General features: G+C 38.8%; 1 protein-coding gene across 4 annotated transcripts in view; it reads left to right on the plus strand.

Moving 5' to 3' along the window:
* EGF (epidermal growth factor) overlaps positions 1-10954 on the plus strand; it is a 100884-nt gene extending 89930 nt beyond the window's left edge. For 3 of the 4 annotated variants that reach the window (NM_001963.6, NM_001178130.3, NM_001178131.3), the window contains 3 exons: positions 1693-1810; positions 5340-5418; positions 8390-10954. In NM_001963.6, coding sequence (NP_001954.2) covers positions 1693-1810; positions 5340-5418; positions 8390-8643 — 451 coding nt within the window. In that variant the 3' untranslated portion in view covers positions 8644-10954. The remainder of the gene's footprint in view (positions 1-1692; positions 1811-5339; positions 5419-8389) is intronic. The other variant, NM_001357021.2, reaches the window with a different exon arrangement.

The following is a 24127-nucleotide window of genomic DNA, read 5'->3' on the forward strand; positions in this document are numbered from 1 at the left end:
CCACCCTCCACCCTCAGGTAGCCCCCAGTGTCTGTTGTTCCTTTCTTTGTGTTCCTGAGTTCCCATCATTTAGCTCCCACTTAGAAGTTAGAATATGTGATATTTGGTTTTCTGTTCCTGTGTTAGTTTGCTAAGAATAATAGCCTCCAGCTCCATCCATGTTCCTACAAAAGACATGATCTCATTCCTTTTTATGGTTGCATAGTATTCCATGGTGTGTATGTGCCATATTTTCTTTATCCAGTCTGTCATTGATGGGCATTTAGGTTGATTCCGTGTCTTTGCCATTGCGAACAGTGCTGCTGTGATCATTGACATCCATGTGTCTTTATGGTAGAATGATTTATATTCCTCTGGGTATATACCCAGTAATGGAATTGCTGGGTCAAATGGTAGTTCTGCAGTTAACTCTTTGAAGCATCACCGTACCGCTTTCCATAATGATTGAAATAATTTCCTCTCTCTCCAACAGTGTATAAGTGTTTCCTTTTCTCCAAAATTTCATGAGCATCTTTTTTTTCTTGACTTTTTATTAATAGCCATTCTGACTGGTACAAATTATAACGTTGTACCTTTGCAACTTTGGAATTGTTTATATTAGCCACTTGTTTCAATTTTTTTCCTTGAAGCCTTTGATTAAAACACATAATAACCCACACCATCTCTTGGTACTGTCTGTGATGCCAGATTCACAGCAGCCCCTCCTATCCTTATCACTCTTCCTGGAACGTCCAGGTAGGGCTTTTGACAGAGGGTTGCATTCCTAGAGGCAATTAAGCTGCCTATCTGCCCCAGGACAGTGGCGTTATTGTGGAGTCTCACAGATGCACTGCTCTAGGGGCTACTGCTTTGAGGATGGGGATCCATCTCCATGCTAAATCTCCCCACCCCCACCCCTAGTGAATGACGCCGTGTATAGACTTAGCGTTGAATGTCAAACAAGACAGTACTCTAAAAAACTGGATTTGGAAGCAAGATACCTAGTGTATTTCCTGGCTTAGCCACTATGAGATTTTCTTATCTTGGGTCATCCACTCCTTCTGTCTTTGCCTCTAATTTCTTTATGAGTGAGAGATTGCAGTGGGCCAGTAAGAGCAGCCTAGGCTTTGTGTCATCATGACCGACTTCTTACACTACCCTTGGTAGCTGTGTGCCTTAGGTGAGTCACTGCCATTTCCAAGCCCCAATGGCTTCACTTGTAAATGGAGCTAACATAGTCTGCCTCACACAGTTGCTGAGATATTTTTTCCACAGACTGCCCCACTCCTCCCTGCAAAATTAGTTGTTTTTTCATTGCTATATCATCAGTACTAGGACAGTGCCTGGGGTATAGTTAGTACTCAATAGATACCTGTGAATGAATGAATGCAAGGCTATTCCCCCCAACATACATGGGCATACATACACACACACACACACACACACACACACACACACACAAACACACACACACCCTCTACCTCACAGAACCTTGGAAAGAGTGAAACACTGTCTGGAAAGCATTTTGAGTTCTGCAGAAAAGACTGCCTTAAACATCTAAAGTTATGTTCCTAGTTATCTTCATATTTCTTCTCTCCCACACAAGTACTTAAATTTTAGTAGCAAAAGCAGTTAGTTGTCCCTGATCATCACTGAGTGGGCTGAGTATTTTGTTTTGTTGTGAGATTGTCTCAAATTTTGGCTTTATCACAGGACTCAGAAGCTGCTATCGAAAAACCCAAAGAATCCTTATGAGGAGTCGAGCAGAGATGTGAGGAGTCGCAGGCCTGCTGACACTGAGGATGGGATGTCCTCTTGCCCTCAACCTTGGGTAATGTGACCAAAGCAGATGAAGCAAGGAATTGGCTTGATATTAACCCCTATTCATTTTTTCTATTTTTTCACTGAGTTCAGAATGACTGGAATCAGTTATAGCTTCCAGCTGGTGTCAGTGTTAGCCAAGACCACATCAGCTAGGGAGGTCCTGGGTGGGAGGGTGGGGGAACTGTGTTGTTAACTAAAGGAATCAGATGAGTTATAATAATGCCATAATTTAATGGCACAATAAATTTTTGGAATTTTTTTCTTTCATGTAGATTCTTTCTATAACTTAGATTTGTATGTGTTATGTGAAGGCTTTCCATATTTTTAGTTAATACATTCCAGATACATGTCTTAAAAACCCAAGATTGTGCTTCTAATTTATTTTCTTTCTTTCTTTCTTTTCTTTTTCTTTTTCTCTGTCTTTTTTTTTTTTTTTTTTTTTTTTGGACAGGATCTTGCTCTGTTGCCCAGGCTGGAGTGCAGTAATCCAACCACTCACTGCTCACTGCAGCCTCGAACTCCTGGGCTCAAACAATCCTCCCAGCTCAGCCTCCCAAATAGCTGGGACTACCGGCACACACCGCCACGCCCAGCTAATTTTTGTATTTTTTGTAGAGACAGAGTTTCACCATGTTTCCCAGGCTGGTCTCAAACTCTTGGGCTCAAGCAATCCACCTGCCCGGGCCTCTCAAAGTGCTGGAATTGCAGGCATGAGCCACTGCACTCAATTTTCTTAATTTTCTTAATATTTCTTAATATTTCTTTTATTTTCTTAATATTTCTTTTCTCACACACATTTCAACTCCCCAAATTTCAGTAGCAAAATAGTTGCCAGATTTAACAAATAAAAATATAGGATGCCTAGTTAAATTCATACTTATACTGAAAGTTCAAATTTAAATTCAAAATTAAATTTAACTGGGTTCTTTATTTTATCTGACAATCCTAGATATTTTCCGAAAAGCACAGAGGTTTGGGAAATTCAAGATGTTTCATAAATCATCCACTTCAGTAATTGATCTTGGAACACTAGAGGGCAGTCTTGAAACAGGCTACACATTCTTGAATCAGTTAAGGGAATTTCCATTTCTAGAAACCTGTCAGAGTTAAGGACTGATTCAGTGTGTGCTGTTGGCATTATTTGTGGTATATATTGTGGAAGAGACTGGAATACATGGCAGGTCCATGGAGGATTGAATCCTTAGGGAAGAGCTATTACAGAGAGGTTATGGAGGAGCAAAGGCAATGTTTGGGGTCCTTCCCACATTATTACCCCTACTCCCCAGCTCCCATCTCACAGTGAATTCCCAGAAAGTAGCTTTCCTGTAACTGTGCTTTTGACTACCAGGTGATCATCTTTTCCTACCTGTAATAGGCATTCAGTGTTTCCTTATTTATTTATTTATTTTTTGGTTGGACTCAAGTATGGGGGAAAAAAATAGAGGCTGGGCAAGTTTGCTCATGCCTGTAATCCCCATGCTTTGGGAGGCCAAGGCAGGATTGCTTGAGGCCAGGAGCTTGGGACCAGCCCGGACAATATAGCAAGATCATATTTCTTTAAAAAGATTAAAAAAAAAAACTTTGCTGGGTGTGGTGGTACACACTTGCAGTTTCAGGTACTCAAGAGACTGAAGCAGGAGGGTCACTTGAACCCAAGAGTTCAAGGTTGCAGTGAGCTATGATAGCACCACTGCACTCCAGCCTGAGTGACAGACTGAGACCTTTTCTCTAAAGCATGAGAAAGAACATGAGTTCTAGCCTTACTCTCCCACCAGTTGGCTATCTAATCTTGAGCAATTCCTTTAACCTATGCAGACTTCTGCTCCCCACTCAGTACAAGGGGTTTGGATTAGATGATCTCTAAGATCCCTTCAGTCTTTATCAGTCTTTATCAATTCCACAAGTGTGTGATTCTAGGACTAAGCTCTAGAATGTGTTGGTTCTTTGAGGCCTCATGACTTTGCGAACTTCTAAATTACCCAGATGTCACTTGTCAGTCTACATGGTATTTCATTCAGGTTTTGAGTAGCAGGTTTAATTCATCTCATTAATTCATCATCATGGGAATGAAGGAGAAACACAATCTGTGTATGACTATTAAAAAATCAAAAGCATTTGCTGCTGTCATGAGCAACTTGTTGGCTCAGAGCTATGTTGGGAGGCCTGGGGCTGCTGAGCTCAGTCCCCCACAGCCGTCATAACTGTCGTTGACAGCAACTGCTGCTGTAGATATCAGTGGGAGTGGGAGAGAGCTGAACGCTCAAACTAGAAGAAAGAGCAGAAACAAATGTAGTTCTATCAGCTCCTTTCCCCACCTCAGCCCAGAATTTCGGGACCTATGTTCTTCTGACAGAGAGGCACGAGGTTAGAAAATTTGCAGTGCAGAGGGTTGGATTTTGACTTGAGACAGAAATAATGGGCATGTGTCTTTAAACAGTGGGTTGCGTGTTGATTTTGCAGTGTGTTGCTGCAGGAGATCATCAATGAGGAGGAGATGAAGCATGATTTGTATTATAAGAAAATGAAAATACATGTTCTGTGGATTCACACTTCCCTTACCAACATTTCCCTGCCTTCTGCCTAATTGACCCCAGTCATCATCCCTTTCTACACCTTTCTCAAAGGAAAATATGGGCAAAGAGATTGTTTTCTACTCCTCTTTCTGTTGTTTCTGAGTTGTGTGCTCCTTTCTGTGGAGCGCCCATTTCTGAACCAATGAAGCGTGATCGGCCAAAACCTTGGGGCAGTCCTTGCACTAGTTACTGATTGACAAGGAAGGACTTCACCAAATGATGTCCTTTGTCCTGTTGTATGGGGTCACTTCTTTTCTTTCCTTGTAGCATGGATCTGTTTTAATATCTAATCTATCTAGAGTGAATGTGAGCCAGTGAACTCTGGTCAGCCTGCATTGCAAGTGCCCAATCAATTTTTGATAATACAAATAATGACAAAAGTAATCATTTTGTTGACTGAAGAGAAATGTTGTTTTCTGTTCCTTCCTATTAAAATTCTAGGTCCCTAGGCTGTTCAACCAGCTTGCAAAATTGTCATTGCACTGGTAATTATTACTACCTTTAATGGCCCCAAATTACTCAGAACTTGGTAGCATGTTTAAATGAGTGTTATTAATGTGTGTGTGCGTGTGTGTGTATGAAAAGTTGTAGCACACACATATATTAGATATTATTTGCCTGGCCTATGGGCAGTTCTTAGAATACTTATGGATTCTTGGATTGCTTATGGTAAATCAGTGGCTCCAGGGATCCGTGACCTAAAAGCTGAGATTCCATAATTAGAATAGATTCTTCAGTTAACATATTGGTGTGCCTAGTTGCTTTAAGACAAAGTAACACAAGGCTCCTCACTGAATGTTGAATCTCTCTTTAGATAGAAAGACTAACTTCACAGGGCCTTTCTTCTGACTTTCACTTTCCATAGGATGAACATCGTAAAGCCATAGACTTTGATTCAATGTACGTTGAGATAATTTGTGAATTTTAACAATATCCTCTCTCCCTCCTTTTTGTTGTCTGCAGTTTGTGGTTATAAAAGAACACCAAGACCTCAAGAATGGGGGTCAACCAGTGGCTGGTGAGGATGGCCAGGCAGCAGATGGTCAGTTTTTATCCCTGGCTCCTGGTGAATGGTTATTTTTACTTAGATCCTGACTGTTTTTCAATGAAAAGTCTCATTTAACCACACACACACACACAAACAAAATAACTAAATTGTATAAGCTATGTGAATAGCTGGGCTGTATTGAAATGCCATGGACCTGATTTGCACTGGAGTTCTATCTTATATGAGGTTACCACGTTCACTCAAAACTCTAGTCACAGGGCAGCCCGTGTTCTTGCACTTTGAGCAAGAACACAATGGATGACTCCTTGATTTGAATTGAGTTTTGGGGTCATTCTTAAGGTCCAGGATCTATACTGGTAGCTGTAGGTATAGTCCCAGTTAAGTTGTAAATGGCTCCAAGAAAACATGTTCCATGTTCAGCCCATCTAGTGGGAAGTGTTTCTGTAAATTTAAGTTGATCTGAGGATTGTCCTGGGGATTTCAGAGTATTCAGGTCTTATCAGGGGCATGACCTTAGCCAGACGCCTGGCTGTCTGTGAAGTCCAGCCAAGCCACTTGTGGAGAGACCATAAAATCAACCCAGGTTCTCAGGAACTCAGTCTACTTCAGATAGAAATGAACTCAGATACCCTTAAGAGTTGTATTATGATCAGCCTTTTGGTTTTGGGTCTCAGGTTGAGTTTTGTTTCACAGGCCAGAGGACATTGTTTCACAGGCCTTTGTGTCGTGAGCCTTTGGAAAGGTTTAGAGAAACTTTTAGCCAACAAAAACAGCTCCTCTGCTAATGAAAGGAGCTAATGAAATATCAACTCCAATTGAATTTTCTATATTTTTCCTTCTTCAATGTGCTTATTATCATAACCTCCTCCTCAGATTTCTTTCTGGAAAGAACATAGGCTTCTTGTTTTGGAAAACTCACTCTAAATTCCCTTCTCATACCTATGTTGCCATGAAACCCCAAATACTGAATTCAGTACAACTTTATTACCTAATTTGAAGAAGGCCTGGATATTTAAGGTACACTTAAAAATTGAATATGAAAACTACAATAAATAGTATAGTATTTTATATGGATCATTACTTTCCCCTGATAATGAAAAAATTCAGCATTTTCAAAAATTTGCTTCAGTGCTTATTGTTATTGGTAGCACTATTAAAAAGTAATGGAATATTTGTAGTTACTACTTTTCCTTGAGCAGCTAAAAGTGCATAATTCTTACAATGGTAACCCACTATAGAGGCACATATAATGTAATTTTGCAAGCTAATAGCACAACGATTTTACAGGAATTTGGTTAAACTTAGAAAAGAACTAAGGACTCATTACAGTTAGCTGAGTACTCAGGAATATATTAGAATGTCTCTTTTGCTGTTGTTTTTTTCCCCCCGCACTGTACTGCAAACAATTTGACCCATTCTCTGTGGGCCACTCATATAACTATCTCCCAGCATGAGTGATCACATCCCCAATCATGTCCAGCTGTCTCATAAATGCCTGGGGTGAAAATGCGCATAGAGATTGGGGTGGGGGGAGATTGAGTGAGGAATGAAATAAAAGATCAAGTTTGGCTCTGAGCCAGTCTCTTCTCTGCTCCTGGAAAACTCATTACAACACAATACTAGTGTAGTTCCATAAAACCATCTTCACTGAGCTCAGCTGACATCAGTTGACACAGGTTAAGTGCAGAGTACATGCTAGGGGCAGCTGACTATGCCAGGGGAAAAGAAAAGAAATACACCTAAAATCTGAATTCAGACCAGGCACAGTGGCTCACACCTGTAATCCGAGCACTTTGGGAGGCCAAGGTGGGCAGATCATTTGAGGTCAGGAGTTTGAGACCAGCCTGTCTCTACCAAATGAGACCAGCCTGTCTCTATGGTGGAACGCTGTCTCTACCAAAAAGTACAAAAATTAGCCTGGCATGCTGGTGCACACCTGTAGTCCCAGCTACTCAGGAGGCTGAGGTAGGAGGATCCCTTGAGCCTGGGAGATGGAGGTTGCAGTGAGCTGAGATCTCAACACTGCACTCCAGTGAGACTCCATCTCAAAACAAAGATAGAGACTCCATCTCAAAAACAAAAAACAAAAAACCTGAGCTCTATCTACTCTCAAGTCATTTGTGGTCCAGATGGGGAGACAGAAGTACACAGTAAAAGCTAAAGAGCAATGTGTCAGGTTCTTTAAATCACCTCAACCAAGACTATTGTAATTTTTTTAAAAAAATTTTAAGATGCCAACCAAGACTATTTTAATTTTTAAAAAATTATTTTAAGTCAAGGTCCTACTCTGTCACTCAGGCTAAAGTACAGTGGCTTGGTCATGGCTCATTGCTGTCTTGGCCTCCCCAGGCTCAAGCAATCCTCCCACCTCAGCCTCCTAAGTAGCTGAGACCACAGGCATGCACTACCATGCCCAGCTAGTTTTTTATTTTATGTAGAGATGGAGACTCCCTATGTTACCCAGGCTGGTCTTGAACTCTTGGGTGCAAGCCATCCTCCCACTTCAGCCTCTCAAAGTGCTGGAGTTACAAACATGAGCCCCTGCACTGGCCTATTTTAATTTTTTAAAAATTGGGCTCAGGGTGGGGTGTGGTGTCTCATACCTGTAATTCTAGCACTTTGTGAGGTTGAGGTGGGCGAATCGCTTGAGCCCAGGAGTTCAAAACCAGCCTGGCTAACATGGCAACCCTGTCTCTATAAAAAATACAAAAGTTAGCCGGGTAGTCCTAGCTACTCAGGAGGCTGAGGTGGAAGGATCACCTGAGCCTAGGAGGAAGAGGCTGTGGTGAGCTGTGACTGTGCCACTGCACAATCTGCCTGGATGACAGAGTGAGATGCTTATCAAAAAAAAAAAGAGAAAAAAATGTGTCTAGAGTAGTTTGAAAATGGGTTATCTTTGTGTCTCATTTTCAGGCCAGTTCTTCAACCACTACCGTTTAGGGTCTGTCTTGCCTATCTATTGTTAATGATATGAATATTGAAATTTCTTTTGTCTTTCATATAGGGTCAATGCAACCAACTTCATGGAGGCAGGAGCCCCAGTTATGTGGAATGGGCACAGAGCAAGGCTGCTGGATTCCAGTATCCAGTGATAAGGGCTCCTGTCCCCAGGTAATGGAGCGAAGCTTTCATATGCCCTCCTATGGGACACAGACCCTTGAAGGGGGTGTCGAGAAGCCCCATTCTCTCCTATCAGCTAACCCATTATGGCAACAAAGGGCCCTGGACCCACCACACCAAATGGAGCTGACTCAGTGAAAACTGGAATTAAAAGGAAAGTCAAGAAGAATGAACTATGTCGATGCACAGTATCTTTTCTTTCAAAAGTAGAGCAAAACTATAGGTTTTGGTTCCACAATCTCTACGACTAATCACCTACTCAATGCCTGGAGACAGATACGTAGTTGTGCTTTTGTTTGCTCTTTTAAGCAGTCTCACTGCAGTCTTATTTCCAAGTAAGAGTACTGGGAGAATCACTAGGTAACTTATTAGAAACCCAAATTGGGACAACAGTGCTTTGTAAATTGTGTTGTCTTCAGCAGTCAATACAAATAGATTTTTGTTTTTGTTGTTCCTGCAGCCCCAGAAGAAATTAGGGGTTAAAGCAGACAGTCACACTGGTTTGGTCAGTTACAAAGTAATTTCTTTGATCTGGACAGAACATTTATATCAGTTTCATGAAATGATTGGAATATTACAATACCGTTAAGATACAGTGTAGGCATTTAACTCCTCATTGGCGTGGTCCATGCTGATGATTTTGCAAAATGAGTTGTGATGAATCAATGAAAAATGTAATTTAGAAACTGATTTCTTCAGAATTAGATGGCTTATTTTTTAAAATATTTGAATGAAAACATTTTATTTTTAAAATATTACACAGGAGGCTTCGGAGTTTCTTAGTCATTACTGTCCTTTTCCCCTACAGAATTTTCCCTCTTGGTGTGATTGCACAGAATTTGTATGTATTTTCAGTTACAAGATTGTAAGTAAATTGCCTGATTTGTTTTCATTATAGACAACGATGAATTTCTTCTAATTATTTAAATAAAATCACCAAAAACATAAACATTTTATTGTATGCCTGATTAAGTAGTTAATTATAGTCTAAGGCAGTACTAGAGTTGAACCAAAATGATTTGTCAAGCTTGCTGATGTTTCTGTTTTTCGTTTTTTTTTTTTTTCCGGAGAGAGGATAGGATCTCACTCTGTTATCCAGGCTGGAGTGTGCAATGGCACAATCATAGCTCAGTGCAGCCTCAAACTCCTGGGCTCAAGCAATCCTCCTGCCTCAGCCTCCCGAGTAACTAGGACCACAGGCACAGGCCACCATGCCTGGCTAAGGTTTTTATTTTTATTTTTTGTAGACATGGGGATCACACAATGTTGCCCAGGCTGGTCTTGAACTCCTGGCCTCAAGCAAGGTCGTGCTGGTAATTTTGCAAAATGAATTGTGATTGACTTTCAGCCTCCCAACGTATTAGATTATAGGCATTAGCCATGGTGCCCAGCCTTGTAACTTTTAAAAAAATTTTTTAATCTACAACTCTGTAGATTAAAATTTCACATGGTGTTCTAATTAAATATTTTTCTTGCAGCCAAGATATTGTTACTACAGATAACACAACCTGATATGGTAACTTTAAATTTTGGGGGCTTTGAATCATTCAGTTTATGCATTAACTAGTCCCTTTGTTTATCTTTCATTTCTCAACCCCTTGTACTTTGGTGATACCAGACATCAGAATAAAAAGAAATTGAAGTACCTGTTTTCAAATGGATACTTTATAGGAATTTTGGTAAAGATTTGGTGATGGGAGGATGACTTGAGGTTTGTGGATATTAGTTAATTATTCAGTATGATACCTCACCCAGCTAATTTAGATTTTTCTATATTCGGTTTTGCTTTCATTGACAATATCCTGGAGGATCAGAAGACTTGTCTATTTCTGCTGAGTCACTGGCCTCAGAAAAATAATAACCATAATTTCCCCCAAGGTTTTCTTTACCTAAGTGTGAATATTTTTTCTTCCTCCAAAAGCTCACTTTTGGGTTTAGATTAAATTTTTGTATTTTAGCACCTTTTTCTTTTAGGGGTTCAATGATGACAAAAGAAATGACATGAGAACACGGCTACCCATAACATACCATTATCTTTGTACCAGAAAAATCCTTGTTTCCTTCTTAATGACTCTGGTACCTTAGAAACTGGGACCCTGCTAAGTCCTTGACTAGGCTATCTACCAGCTCCTGGTCGGATTAAAGAAAAAACACACTTTGTGTTTTTTAATCACCAAGGCACCCTGCAGAGATATCTTCTTCTTGCAACTTCACATCTTTATCAGTAATGTCCTCTTTCCTTTAAAAATTCAAGTTTTAAGAACAGCATTTTCATGTAAAAACTTGATTTGTGTTTTTTCCAGACTGAATACTTTTCCTCCCTAACTCTCATCGTCTCATTGCGCGCAACGCCTGATTGAGCTTCTGTTTGACTAAATATCACCTACTATGTAAAAAATGAGCATATTGGCCTCTTTTCTAGCATCTAATAAAGGCTTAATACACTGTACTCTTTTGAAACCATATGATTCCAGTCCAACTATTAGCCTTGATTTCTAACTGATGTTCTTTTCATGAGAATAACTGATTATTGTGTGATCTTTGAAAATGTAATAGCAGCACTAAATTATAAATCCTTAAAAAACACACATACACATGCAACCAAAACCAACAAAAGGCTGAAAGAAACAGAAAATATCTAGTCAATTTAAGTAGCTGTGACAGGCAAGATTTTATGGTTTGCTTTGTTTTCTTTTACTTTTTATTTCCTCTTTATTCTTTAAGTCTTTACATGAGAAACCCTATTCCGCATTGGTTCATTCTGAAGCAGGAATTCCAAACTTTCCTGTTTGGAACTTGACAGGGTTTCTGTAGCTAGAGGCCATATGCTAGCAACAAGGAAAACACCAGGCTTTACATGCCTGGCAGCTTTCTACTTTGTGAACCAGGTAAGCTGTAACTGTTTCCCAGACTTTCATCCCTGCATATCGTTGGGATACAGTTGGTTACTGTGGTTAGATGCAGCAAAAGACAGATGCACAGGTGCCAGCTCATCCTCATTTTTGCTGGTGGTGGTTGCTGTCAGCCTGCGGATTGCCACCACTGTCCCTTCCTTAGTGTTTTCTAAATCTCTTTTTCCTGACTGTTGGCTCTGATGCACACTGATGATTCCAGGCCCACCACCAGACACAGACGCAGCATCCTTCCATAGATAGACTTTCCTGCCTGCTCCACTGGACGCTCCCTTCCACTTGGGAAGTGGGGAGTGCTTGACTTCATGGGTTTCCCTGCCAACTCCAACCTGTCCATGCATCCCATTGCATCGGAGTGCCGATCAGTGACTTTGTTCTAATCCTCCAAATCCCCTTCCTGTACCTTATTTTCCCAGCTCTTCTTGCAATTATGTAAGGTTCAATTTCTATAATAAATTACTTTTATTACATAGTACTCAATGATTTGCTTCCTTGATTGAACTCTGATACAACAGGCTAATTCAACCAAATATTCAAGGTACACATAATCCTCATATTATACAAATTCTTCTATATAATAGAAAAAAGAACACTCCTCACCTCATTTTATGGAGTATTATCCTTATTTCTATAGTAGACAAGTATAGCACAAGAAAGAAAGATTACAGGTCAAACTCAATTACAAATATAGATGCAAAAAGTCTAAACAAAATATTAAAAAATGGCCTTGGCAGCATATTGGAAAAATAACATTTCATGGCCAATTGGTAATTATGTAATAAATGAAAGATTGGTTAAATATTTAAAATCATTGGTTATCATTCAATATAGGACCAAAGCAAAAGAGAAAAAAATAAAAGCAAATTTTGAATAGGGGCAGAAATAGTTTTCAATAAAATTCAACATGTATTCACAACAGAACTTCTTAGCAAAAATATAAAGAAAAGTTAAATTCCTTAACTTGATGAAATCTATCAAGTCTGCTACTCCCAGCAAACATAATGCTTAATAATGAAATATTGAGAGTATTCCCTTTAAGATCAGGACTAAGGATGCAACACTATCATCACTTCTTTTCAGTGAGACACCTATTCTAGGTATCTTAGATAGTAATCTGACAGCATGATAATATCCCAAAGCAGTGAGATTAGATTTTTAACATATGTAGGGACTTAAAATTTTTAATTACACTCTATTTGCAGATGATATAGTTGTCCAGATAAAATGCAAAATAGGCTGGGCGTGGTGGCTCACGCCTGTAATCCCAGCACTTTGGGAGGCAGAGGCAGGCGGATCACGAGGTCAGGAGATCGAGACCATCCTGGCTAACACAGTGAAACCCCGTCTCTACTAAAAATACAAAAAATTAGCTGGGTGTGGTGGTGGGCGCCTGTAGTCCCAGCTACTTGGGAGGCTGAGGCAGGAGAATGGCACGAACCCAGGAGGCGGAGCTTGCAGTGAGCCGAGATTGTGCCACTGCACTCCAGCCTGGGCGACAGAGTGAGACTCCGTCTCAAAAAATAAATACATAAATAAACTAAAATAAAATGGAAAATAATCTATAGTTAAATTATAAGTAGGAACACAAAATCAATATATCTCAGGAATGCTTACTAGAAAATGTAGTTAAAATGTGTAAATTATAATAGTAATATAAATGTGAAGTAACCGTGAATAAATCTAACAGGTGTCCAAGCCCATTATGCAGAAAATTACAAGTGGAAAGACATTGGCTGGGTGCAGTAGCTCACACCTGTAATACCAGCACTTTGGGAGCTTGAGGCAGGAGGATGACTTGAGCCCAGGAGTTTGAGACCAGCCTGGGCAATACAGTGAGCCCCTGTCTCTTGAAAAAAAAAAAAAAAAAAAAGGGAAAGACATTAAAGATTGAAAGATAGCCTAAAAGAAGATATACTAAGTTTATTAATAGGAAGTCTTAAGGTTATAAAGTCATTAATTCTCCCCAAACAGATAATTCAATAATATTTTAATAAAAATCTCATGTTTTTTTCCATGAAACCTGGCAAACTAATTCTAAAATTTATATGAGAAGGTCTAGCTATGAACATCTAGATTTATCAGAAACTTACTGCTAAGAATAATTAAGAAAACTGGATAAAAAAACAATCCATTTGAAGGCATCAGATAAATACTAAGGCAATGAGGATTCTAGGGGCTAAGATCTTAGAATGAGAAATGCAAAGAGATAAACCTGACACTCAGTGTCACTCTTTCTCTTCCAGCGTTTGCTAATTTGTAAACAGCAGGCTAAAAGAAGAATACAGAGAATAGCAGTAACATGAGAAGTTGACTTGAGCTTTTGCCATTGTTATGAGGCTAGGAGACAAAAATCAGAATTTAAGACCTGCCAAAGAAGAATGGCCCTGATGACCAACCCAAGGCTTCACATAAGATATTTGAAGACCTACATTGTAGGCCAAAGATCTAACTAGAAACAGTCCAGCCCTCACAAAGAAACACAAATTCAGAATATTCATTCCCTAATAGAATTAAAGTTATTTGACCCCATCTTTAATGTTGCTACAAGCAAAAGGTGAACTCTCTCTGAAGGAACATAATGCCATTCAGAATCTCTGATTATGTCTTCAAATTTTTATATACAACATCTGGCATTCAATAAAAAATTTCCAGACAAGCCAGGGGATAAGACAATTAGCCAAAAACCAAGAGAAAAAAAAGGCCAAATAAGCAGACCTACAGGAGATTCAATTATTGAAGTTATCAAACATGGATTTTAAAATAACTTAGGTTTATATATTGAAAAATACACAGAGTGAGAAAAAGAATTTCAGCAAGAATTGGGATCTTTAAAAATAATAAACTTGAAAGGCCGGCACGGTGGCTCACACCTGTAATCCCAGCACTTTGGGAGGCCAAGGCAGGCAGATCACGAGGTCAGGAGTTCGAGACCAGCCTGACCAACATGGTGAAACCCTAGCTCTACTAAAAATACAAAAATTAGCCAGGCCTGGTGGCATGCACCTGTAATCCCAGCTACTCAGGAGGCTGGGGCAGGAGAATCGCTTGAACCTGGGAGGTGGAGGTTGCAGTGAGCCAAGATCGTGCCACTGCATTCCAGCCTGCATGACAGAGCAAGACTCCCTCTCAAAAAAAAAAAAAATTAATAATAATCTCGAAAATAGGATAACTAAAAGAACATATTAAATGGGTTTAACAGCAGATTAAACACAGCTGAAAAAGAATTAATGAACTAGAAAATAGATCAGCCAGGCATGGTGAAGCACACTGTAGTCCCAGCTGCTCAGGAGGCTGAGGCTGGAGAATCGCTTGAGCCCAAAAGTTTAAGACCAACCTGGGCAATATAGTGACATAGTGTGTGTGACTTCATCTAAAAAAAAAAAAAGAAAATAGATCAATAGAAAACATCCATACTGAAGCATAAAGAGCAATAAAAAAGAATAGAAAGTACAGAAAAAGCATAAGAACATAAAAAACTTCTAACATGTTTTTTAATTGTAGAAGGACAGAAGCAAGACTGGGGTAAAAGCAATATTTGAAGAGATCATATGTGAAAACATTATAATAATGAAAAATAATAAGAAACACTACAAAGCCAAACAATAAATACAAATCAACCATAATTACAATTTTTTAAATTTTTAAAGCAGTCAGAAATAAGAAACTTTATTTTCAAATGAACAAGATGGTGAGATAATTTATCCATGGAATTTATGAATGCCAGCAGAAAATATAATAATTGGCTGAGTACAGTGGTTCGCACTTGTAATCCCAGCACTTTGGGAGGCCAGGATGGGGGGATCACTTGAGCCCAGGAGTTCGAGACTAGGCTAGGCAACATAGGGAGACCTTGTCTCAAATAAAATAAAATAAAATGAAATAATAAAATAAAATATAAAATAATAAAATAAAATAAAATAGAATGATGTGTTGTAATAACTAGAATTCTACATCCAGCCAGCAAAAATAGTGTTTAAAGGCGAAAGCAAAATAAAGACTTTAGATAACAAAAACCTAAAGAATTGGACAACAAAACACCTGTACCAATACAAATATTGAAGAAAAATTTTCAGGCAAAAATAAAATGATCCCAGATGAACTCATGAAAATACAGCAAAAAATAAACAATTGAAAGGGTCAATATGTAGGTAAATGTAAATGAATATAGACTCAATGAAAAATAGAAAGTTACACATGAAGAAGAATTAAATAGAATGACTTGATCTATCAGACACCAGAAATTATTATAAAGCAATAGTAACTAAGAAGTATGGTACTCTTTCAGGTTAGACAAGTAGGTGAATAGAATAAAAAAGAGCTACATGGCCAGGCACGGTGGCTCACACCTATAATCCCAGCACTTTGGGAGGCCGAGGTGGGTGGATCACGAGGTCAAGAGATTGAGACCATCCTGCCAACATGGTGAAACCCTGTCTCTACAAAAAATACAAAAATTAGCTGGGCATGGTGGCGCATGCCTGTATTCCCAGCTACTCGGAAGGCTGAGGTAGGAGAATCGCTTGAACCTGGGAGGCAGAGGTTGCAGTGAGCCGAGATCACATCACTGCACTCCAGCCTGGTGACAGAACAAGACGCTGTCTCAAAAAAAAAAAAAAAAAAAAAAAAGAGCTACACACAGAAACTTGAAAGATGATTGAGTGGGCAATGCACATCAGCAGTATAAGAATGAACTATTAATAAATACAGCTGAGAACACTGATTCTCCGTTCATGAAACAATGAAACAGATCCCTATTGTAAGCATTGTACATACAACCAAGGTAGAATACAAACTTAAATTTGGAAGGTCAAACTATAAAGTTTCAGAAGAGTTTATTGGAGTATATTTAATAACCTTGGAGTAAGGAGAAATTTCTTAAGACCCCCCGAAAAAGGAAAATATCAAAAAGTTGCCATTAAAATTAAGAATCTCTAGTCTTCATATCATAAAGAGAGTAAAAATACAAAATTCAAGTTTTGAAAATAAATTTTTGATATATATAACTGACAAAGGAAGATATAAATCTAGAATATATAAACACTTCCTAAAGTCAATAAGAAAGAGACTAGCAATGTAGTAGATAGATGGGTAGAAGTGGGAACACAAACGTGACCCCAACACCACATGAAAAGATGATCAGTCACATTAGTAATAAGGGCAATGCAAAATGAAACCACAATGAGATGCCACTTCGCACCCAGCCATTGGCAAAAATTATTAAGTTAGGTAAGTACCAGTTTCAACGAGAATGTGGGCCTATCAATACTCTTACATATTTCTGGTGAGAGATACCTGTGTATCTCAAGGCACATACAAAAGAGTTCATGATCGCAAAAACAAAAAACAAAAAAACAAAAACTGGAAACCACATAAATGCCAACAGTAACATGAATTTTAAAATATGGTATAGTTTTATTATGGGATACTGTATAGCAGTTTAAAAATGAATTACAGCTATGCATATGAAAATGGATTAATCTGAAAAGCTGTTTAACTTGGATCAATCAGAAAAATAGAAAAGAAGCTCATTTTATGACCAAATAATTCCTTTATATAAATTTTATAAGCAAGGAAAATTAAACAGTATATTGTTTGTGGATATAGGCTTAAGTGGTAAAACTACGAAGGAAAGCAAGGGAATCACTGCAAAAAAAATCAGAAGTGTAGTTGTTGGCTGGGCACAGGGGCTCACACCTGTAATCCCAGCACTTTGGGAGGCCGAGACAGAAGGCTCACTGGAGGCCTGGAGTTCAAGGCTGCAGTGAGCTATGATCAGCCCGAGATGACAGAGTGAGACCCTGTCTACAACAAACAAACAAAGAAACAAATAGCAACAACAAAGGAAAAAAATCAGGAAAAAAGAGTAGTTGTCTTTGGAGCTAGAAGAGGATGCCTTCAGTGATAGGTACTCCAGGGCTTCTGAGGGTCTGGTATGTTCTAGCTCTAAGTCTTTAGTGGTGGACACATGAGTGTTTTTTTATTATTATTTCTCTGTGAAGTGCCTAATACGTTTTTTTTTTCACTTTTTGAAAAGAAATTGTCCTTCAGTTTTCTGTTAAGCACTTCATGGATTCCAAAGCAGAATTATTCACATTCTTTGCATTCATTCGGGCTGGGTTTGCTCAACTCTGGACCCCTGAAGCCACGGAGCATGCCTGCTGGATTCCCATGTTTCAGAGCGGAAATTTTCCTCCCCAGTGTGAAGAGCCTCAAGAGAGGCAGAAGATGCTGCTTACTACACACCTTGAACACGTAGAGGGTTAAAGAAGATAATGGAAGAGCTGAGGAAAGAAGAACTGTGTAATGCACAAGAGACAACACAGAAAAAATAGAAATCGGCATTTGGAATCTCATAAGAAATTATTTGGTTGGGGATGATAAATATGATGTTCATAATTATGATGAGAAGGAGCATTCGAATTCTGGTGCTTTGGTTTGCTCTAATCATCCATCTCTTTTCTTCTATTAATTTATTCTGACCTTTGAGAATCTCTTGTTTGGGTTTTCCCCCGCCTTTCAGTTTTACATGCTGCCTTTTAAATTCTTATGCAAGCTTTTCTGTGTTTGCTAAATTAAGTAGACCCATAAAGCAATACATATGTTTGTAGTGAGCTGGAAATTACAGTGAAACTGTCTGTACTTCCTGCATTCATGAGATAATGAATGGGGTAAATTTTTAAGGAATTAGAATAGAAAATCAAGATCACAAATGGTAGGAAGCAGAAGCTTTCACAATCTGGCTCCAGGGTTTTCTGCCTCTAACAACTCTTTAATCCTCCACTGTATTAGAACTCTCAGAACGAGCTTCGTTCCTTTCTTATTCCAAAATTACAGCTCTCTTTCCATTTGTCTCAGGTTCCAAATGACTTTTTTATCCCTGCACAATTGTTAGCATCTTCTTATTTTAAAACTGTCATCAAAACTTAGCAAGGTTCTCAGAAAACAAGGCAAATGGAAAATTCTGTGCTTCAGTGATTGCTCAGAGCCTTGAAGTGGGCACTCTGTCTGCTCATGATGAGAAGAGAGAAAAGACCTTCATAATCTTAGCTCTGCAACTGGAGAATCTTAGAAATACAGCATACCATAGAGGCCATAGAGTTCTGCTCAAAGTAAAATTCCCTTTCCTATGTCTCTGAAGAAGGTTCTTTGGCTTCAGCTTTTGACTTACTGCAGTCACAGGGAGCTTGAGACTTCAACAGACAGCTGTTATACTCTTGGAGTTGTAAGGAAATTCTTCCTTAGAGAGGTATTATAGGCCTCCTCTGGGCTAGCTTGGGTCTGTACAAGATCAATTCTTCAAATATGAAAAATGCCGTCCCCTCAGTTCGACATGTCTCCGGAGAGTCTTTTCTGAAAGTCAACATCCCTGCTTTTGTTGCCCATATAGTCTGTTTTTAGGCGTAGTTTTAGACTGTGGTGTTGCCTCTTGTTTGGAGGCTTGGCTGCAGTATGGCAGCACCCTTTTTAAAGTGAGATGCCCAAACTGAGTATCAGACTCCAGAGGAGGCCTAAATCCTGGGGGTACTAAGTGCTTTATTCCCCCTTTTATACTGAAGTTCCCAAATTTTGTTAGTTTTGATAGAAACTACGTGACACAGGAAGCATGTATAGAAATAATCAGGGATCAGCATCAGAAATCCACTGGAGTAGCTGCCCTACAGATATCTTCATTGTAAAGTCGCCACAGGTAGTAAGGCTTCCATCAAGATATGAAGTGAAATATCCCCCCTGGGCCCTGGGCAGGAGGAGCCCCAGGAGCTGAGTCTACTCCTCAGTGCCCCACCCCAGGGCCTCTTGTCTCGTCTTCTCTCTGCAGGTCTGTTCTGCTCTCCTTCTTCTCTTGGCGAAGTGACCTTTCCATGTCTTTTATGTTTCCTTAACTTTGGTTTGCCTGTGCTCCGTGTAGCATGAAACGGACCTAGCCCAAACTCTGTAAACTTTTCAAGTGTTCTCCCATTGCCATTGCCCAGCTCAGTGTCTCTCAAACTTTAGTGTCCACGAAATCAACTGGGGATTTTGTTAAAATTCTGATAATAGTTCCATAGGTCTAGGATGGGGAGTGCACATTTCTACGAAGTTCCCAGCCAACGTGGATGCTGCTAGTCCACAGATCATACTTTGAGTAGCAATGAATCAGGCTGCAGCTGTCCCAGTTTTCCAATTCCCCAATTCCAACTTCCTGGGAAAGGGAATTTTATGACTGTGTTCCAGTTTTTGGATTTGTTCAGCCTGGGTCAGGTGTTCACTTTGGTCCAATTAGCTACTGGAAGGGGAACAGATGTACATGATACAAATGTGGCCACCTTGACTGGCCCTTTCAGCAGAAGCTGTGGGTGGACTGGGTAGTTTAAAATGCCAAAATAAGTCTACAGCAGAGGTCACTAAAACCCCTAGGTCGCCTTTGTATAAACGGCTCACTAAACCAAATTTTGCCTACCTTGCACTTGTGCAATTTTTCTGATGGGAAATACTGTCATTTTTTCTTTTTTTTTTTTTTTAAGTTCCAGGATACATGTGCAGGATGTGCAGGTTTGTTACACAGGTAAACGTGTGCCATGGTGGTTTGATGCACCTATCAACACATCACCTAGGTATTAAGCCCCGCATGCATTAGCTATTAACCCTGATGCTCTCTCTTCGTGCACCCCCACCCTACCCCGACAGGCTGCAGTGTGTGTTGTTCCCCTCCCTGTGTCCATGTGTTTTCATTGTTCAACTCCCACTTATAAGTCAGAACAAGCTATGTTTGGTTTTCTGCTCCTATGTTAGTTTGCTGAGGATAATGGCTTTGAGCTCCATCCATGTCCCTGTAAAGGACACGATCTTGTCACTTTTTAATGGCTGCATAATATTCCATGGTATGTATGTACCACGTTTTCTTTATTCAGTCTATCATTGATGGGCATTTGGGTTGATTCCTTGTCTTTGCTATTGTGAATAGTGCTGTAATGAACATACGTGTGCATGTATCTTTACAATACAATGATTTATATTCCTTTGGGTATATACCTAGTAATGGGATTGCTGGGTCAAATGGTATTTCTGGTTCTAGGTCTTTGAGGAATTGCCATATTGTCTTCTACAATGGTTGAACTAATTTCACATGCCCAGCAACAGTGTAAAAGCATTCCTATTCCTCCACAACCTCGCCAGCATCTGTTGTTTCTTGACTTTTTAATAATCGCCGTTCTGACTGGTGTGAAGTGGTGTCTCAATGAAGTTTTGATTTGTATTTCTCTAATGATCAGTGACGTTAAGCTTTTTTTCATGTGTTTGTTGGTCACATAAATGTCTTCTTTTGAGAAGTGTTTATTCATGTCCTTTGCCCACTTTTTAATGGGATTGTTTTTTTCTTGCAAATTTAACTTCCTTGTAGATTCTGGATATTAGGCCTTTGCCAGATGGATTGATTGCAAAAATTTTCTCCCATTCTGTAGGTTATCTGTTCACTCTGATGATAGTTTCTTTTGCTGTGCAGAAGCTCTTTAGTTTAATTAGATCCCATTTGTCAATTTTTGCTTTTGTCATAATTGCTTTTGACATTTTTGTCATGAAAACTTTGCCCATGCCTATGTCCTGAATGGTATTGCCTAGATTTTCTTCTATGGTTTTTATAGTTTTTGGTTTTACATTTAAGTCTTCAATCCATTTTGAGTTAATTTTTGTATAAGGTGTTAGGAAGAGGTCCAGTTTCCATTTCCTGCATATGGTTAGCCAATTCTCCCAGTACCATTTATTAAATAGGGAATCCTTTCCTCACTCCCTGTTTTTGTCAGGTTTGTTGAAGATCATATGATTGTAGATGTGTGGTCTTACTTCTGACCTATTCTGTTCCATTGGGCTATGTAAGACTGTCATTTTCTAACATAACTGACATGGTTCTGATTTCCTTTGAATCCTGTTCACACAGTTAATGTATCTTGTTTCTGATGCTTGTGTGAGGCTCAGGCCTATGAAATTCATATATTCCTGAAAAGAAAAAATATGAATTATCCTTTTATATCTTCTCATATTTTAGATGCTATTCTTCTGTCATTTTAGTGAGATTTTAGAAGAAACGAAAGACTTGTTCTTAGTCAGCCATCCTAAAGAAGAAGCACTTTACATTGTATTTTTCAAAATCCTTGTGCCAGGCCCTGAACTCAGTGCAAACCAGCCATCACTTATGTGAAACTTACAATTATAATGGTTAACTGTCCCTTTTGGATAGCCTCTCCAGGTGGGTCAGTATGGCCCTTCTAGGGGTCTGTCTGTGTGAGATCCAAGTTGTGGGAATGACATCGACAGGAAAACTTTGTAGAAGTTCAGAACAGAAACTTCCACTTTACACCCCCTCCATCCACACACATATCAGATGCTGACTTCCCTAGACACTACGACAGCAGGAACGATGTCAGAACTTTGCTTTTACTCCCTGATCTAGATGCTTACTCCATGGTGACGATTCTATAGTGCTTTCCCCTCCCAATTCCGGTATGTTTTAGTTTCAAGTATATAGGTAGTTTCTAAGGATTGAAGCACTTGGAGGAGTGTGCAGTGGGGAGGGGATGACAGGGATGGATACAGCAGGATAATGAGAACGTTCTCTGGCATGAGTCTGGGGAAGGCAAAGAAGTGCTTCTAGCTTGGGGAGCTTAGGAAGAAATCCTAAAGCAATTCATTTCAGTCCTGGATTGTCCGACTTGGTCCTACTGTTCATTCACTTTTTTAAAACTAGTCCTAGAAAAATCATATGATCCATTTGGGGTTTGGAAAAGGTCTTCCATAATTCAGAGAACTGGCACATTAATTTAATCAGAAACTTGGCTTATTTTCCATCTCTTCATTTTGTCAGTTAAGAGGCATAGCCACAGTGGATAGATTCATTCTAGATGCAAAGAAAATCAAAGTACTCTTAGAGATTTGTTGGGCCAAGGAGACACTCACATGGGACCACCTTGTAGATCAATTTTCCAAGCCCATGAAAAATAAATGGAAGTGTCTCTGTGTGAGCCTGTTAGTACCTGATCTGCTGCATTATGCATGATCCCGCCATGTTAGTGGTGCATCTATCCATCACACTGTGTCAACAAGGATTTTCCATGTTTGCCAAATGGTAGATATCAAGACAAAATACAGTTTCCTTACTCTGGTTTTCTTGGCAGGAGCCTCTCTTGTACTTTTTTTTTTTTTTTTTTTAACAGCTATCTGTAATTTATCTTTGTTTGGAATAGCCACAGAGGTTTGGCCTCTTCCCTTAGGGGACAGGTTTAAGGGCTTATAGACACTTCTCTAGTCTTAATATTTGCTTGATAGTTTTTCTTTTTGCAGCACTGTCATTTTTTAAAATTTCAGATAAACTTGTTATCACTAGTCTGTCTAAAAGTAGATCCCATGTAGGTTGTTAATAAATATGACTCTCATGTAGATGTTATAAGAAAAAACAAAACAAAACAAAAAATCTGATTCCTCCTCTCTGTTAGCTTACACAAATGTATACAGATATAAAGCAAACAGCATTGTGAGATTTTTTTTCTGAAAAAAATTATTCACTTTAACGCTATAGTAGGTAGAAGGGAAGCTTGCATTTGAATTACACTCTGATAAACCCGGTAATTATACTCGCCTAATTAGAATGATTTCTGTATTTAATAGGCATGAGTTTTTGGATACCATAGCAAGTACAAAGCCCATGTGCCATTTTTCTTTTCTTCCACAGATTTAATCTATGCTAATAGCTATTCAAACTCTTTCAGACTGCTGAATATTTGTCTTTGGTGCATTTTTCACCCTTGGCTGAGATAGTAATTGCAGCTGTTAAAAAAATTTATTTTCATTTTGTTTATTCTGTCTGTGCTCCAAATCTCCTATTCTAATTTATTTTATATTGCTCTCTCTGCTATTCTAGATTTCTCAATTTCTTCTGATTAAGGACTTTTGTTTAAATCTTGTGGATGGCAATTATTAATTTGTCAGAAAAAATATTTCAGTCCAAATCACTATTGATTTGGATTGTCATTAGATTCAAATATTTGAATAATTGATAGTTGTATATACAAATGAACCTTTCCTACTCAACTTTAATAGTATCTGAAGCAGTGGTTTAAGTGGCTACACTTATGAAACTTATGAAGTTCCATAATTGTCAGTTTTGATTTTTTTTCCACTATGCCCTCAAATTAAAGACCTATTTTTTCAGTAACCAAGAATTCCAGAAGCCAAATCCCTCTCTTTTCCTAAAGGGTGACTTTCCTGAAGGAGAACAGAACTCATTCATAAATTTAAGTCAGTTGTTCTTTTGTTTCAGAATAGTTTGAGACAAATTTGGATAAATGTATAATTTTTGATATGAAAAGTAGGGAAATGGATATGAACCTAAGCCATAAAATTTTCACTCAGCTTTATAGACTTAAACAGAGCTGGAATAGTGTTCTTTTGTAACTCTAGATGTCAAGAGAAGCAAGTTTCTGCTACTTCCACGTTTGAAGACTGTGAACATTTACTACTACAGCGAGGTAAAAGTGTTTGTAAGTGGTACCTGTATGAACCATTTCTTTTTTATTTTAATGGTTAGGTGTTTACTTTTTATTAAACATTTTATTATAAAAATGTTCAAAGTATAGCCAAGTGGGAAGAATTTTACAGTGAACACCCATAAAACTACTTAGATTCTTCCATAACATTTTTCTTTACTTGTTTATCACATATCTAACCTTCTATCCCTCCCTTGA

The sequence above is a fragment of the Homo sapiens genome, chromosome 4 (genome assembly GCF_000001405.40).
Source record: "Homo sapiens chromosome 4, GRCh38.p14 Primary Assembly".
In the NCBI taxonomy this organism is placed as follows: domain Eukaryota; kingdom Metazoa; phylum Chordata; class Mammalia; order Primates; family Hominidae; genus Homo; species Homo sapiens.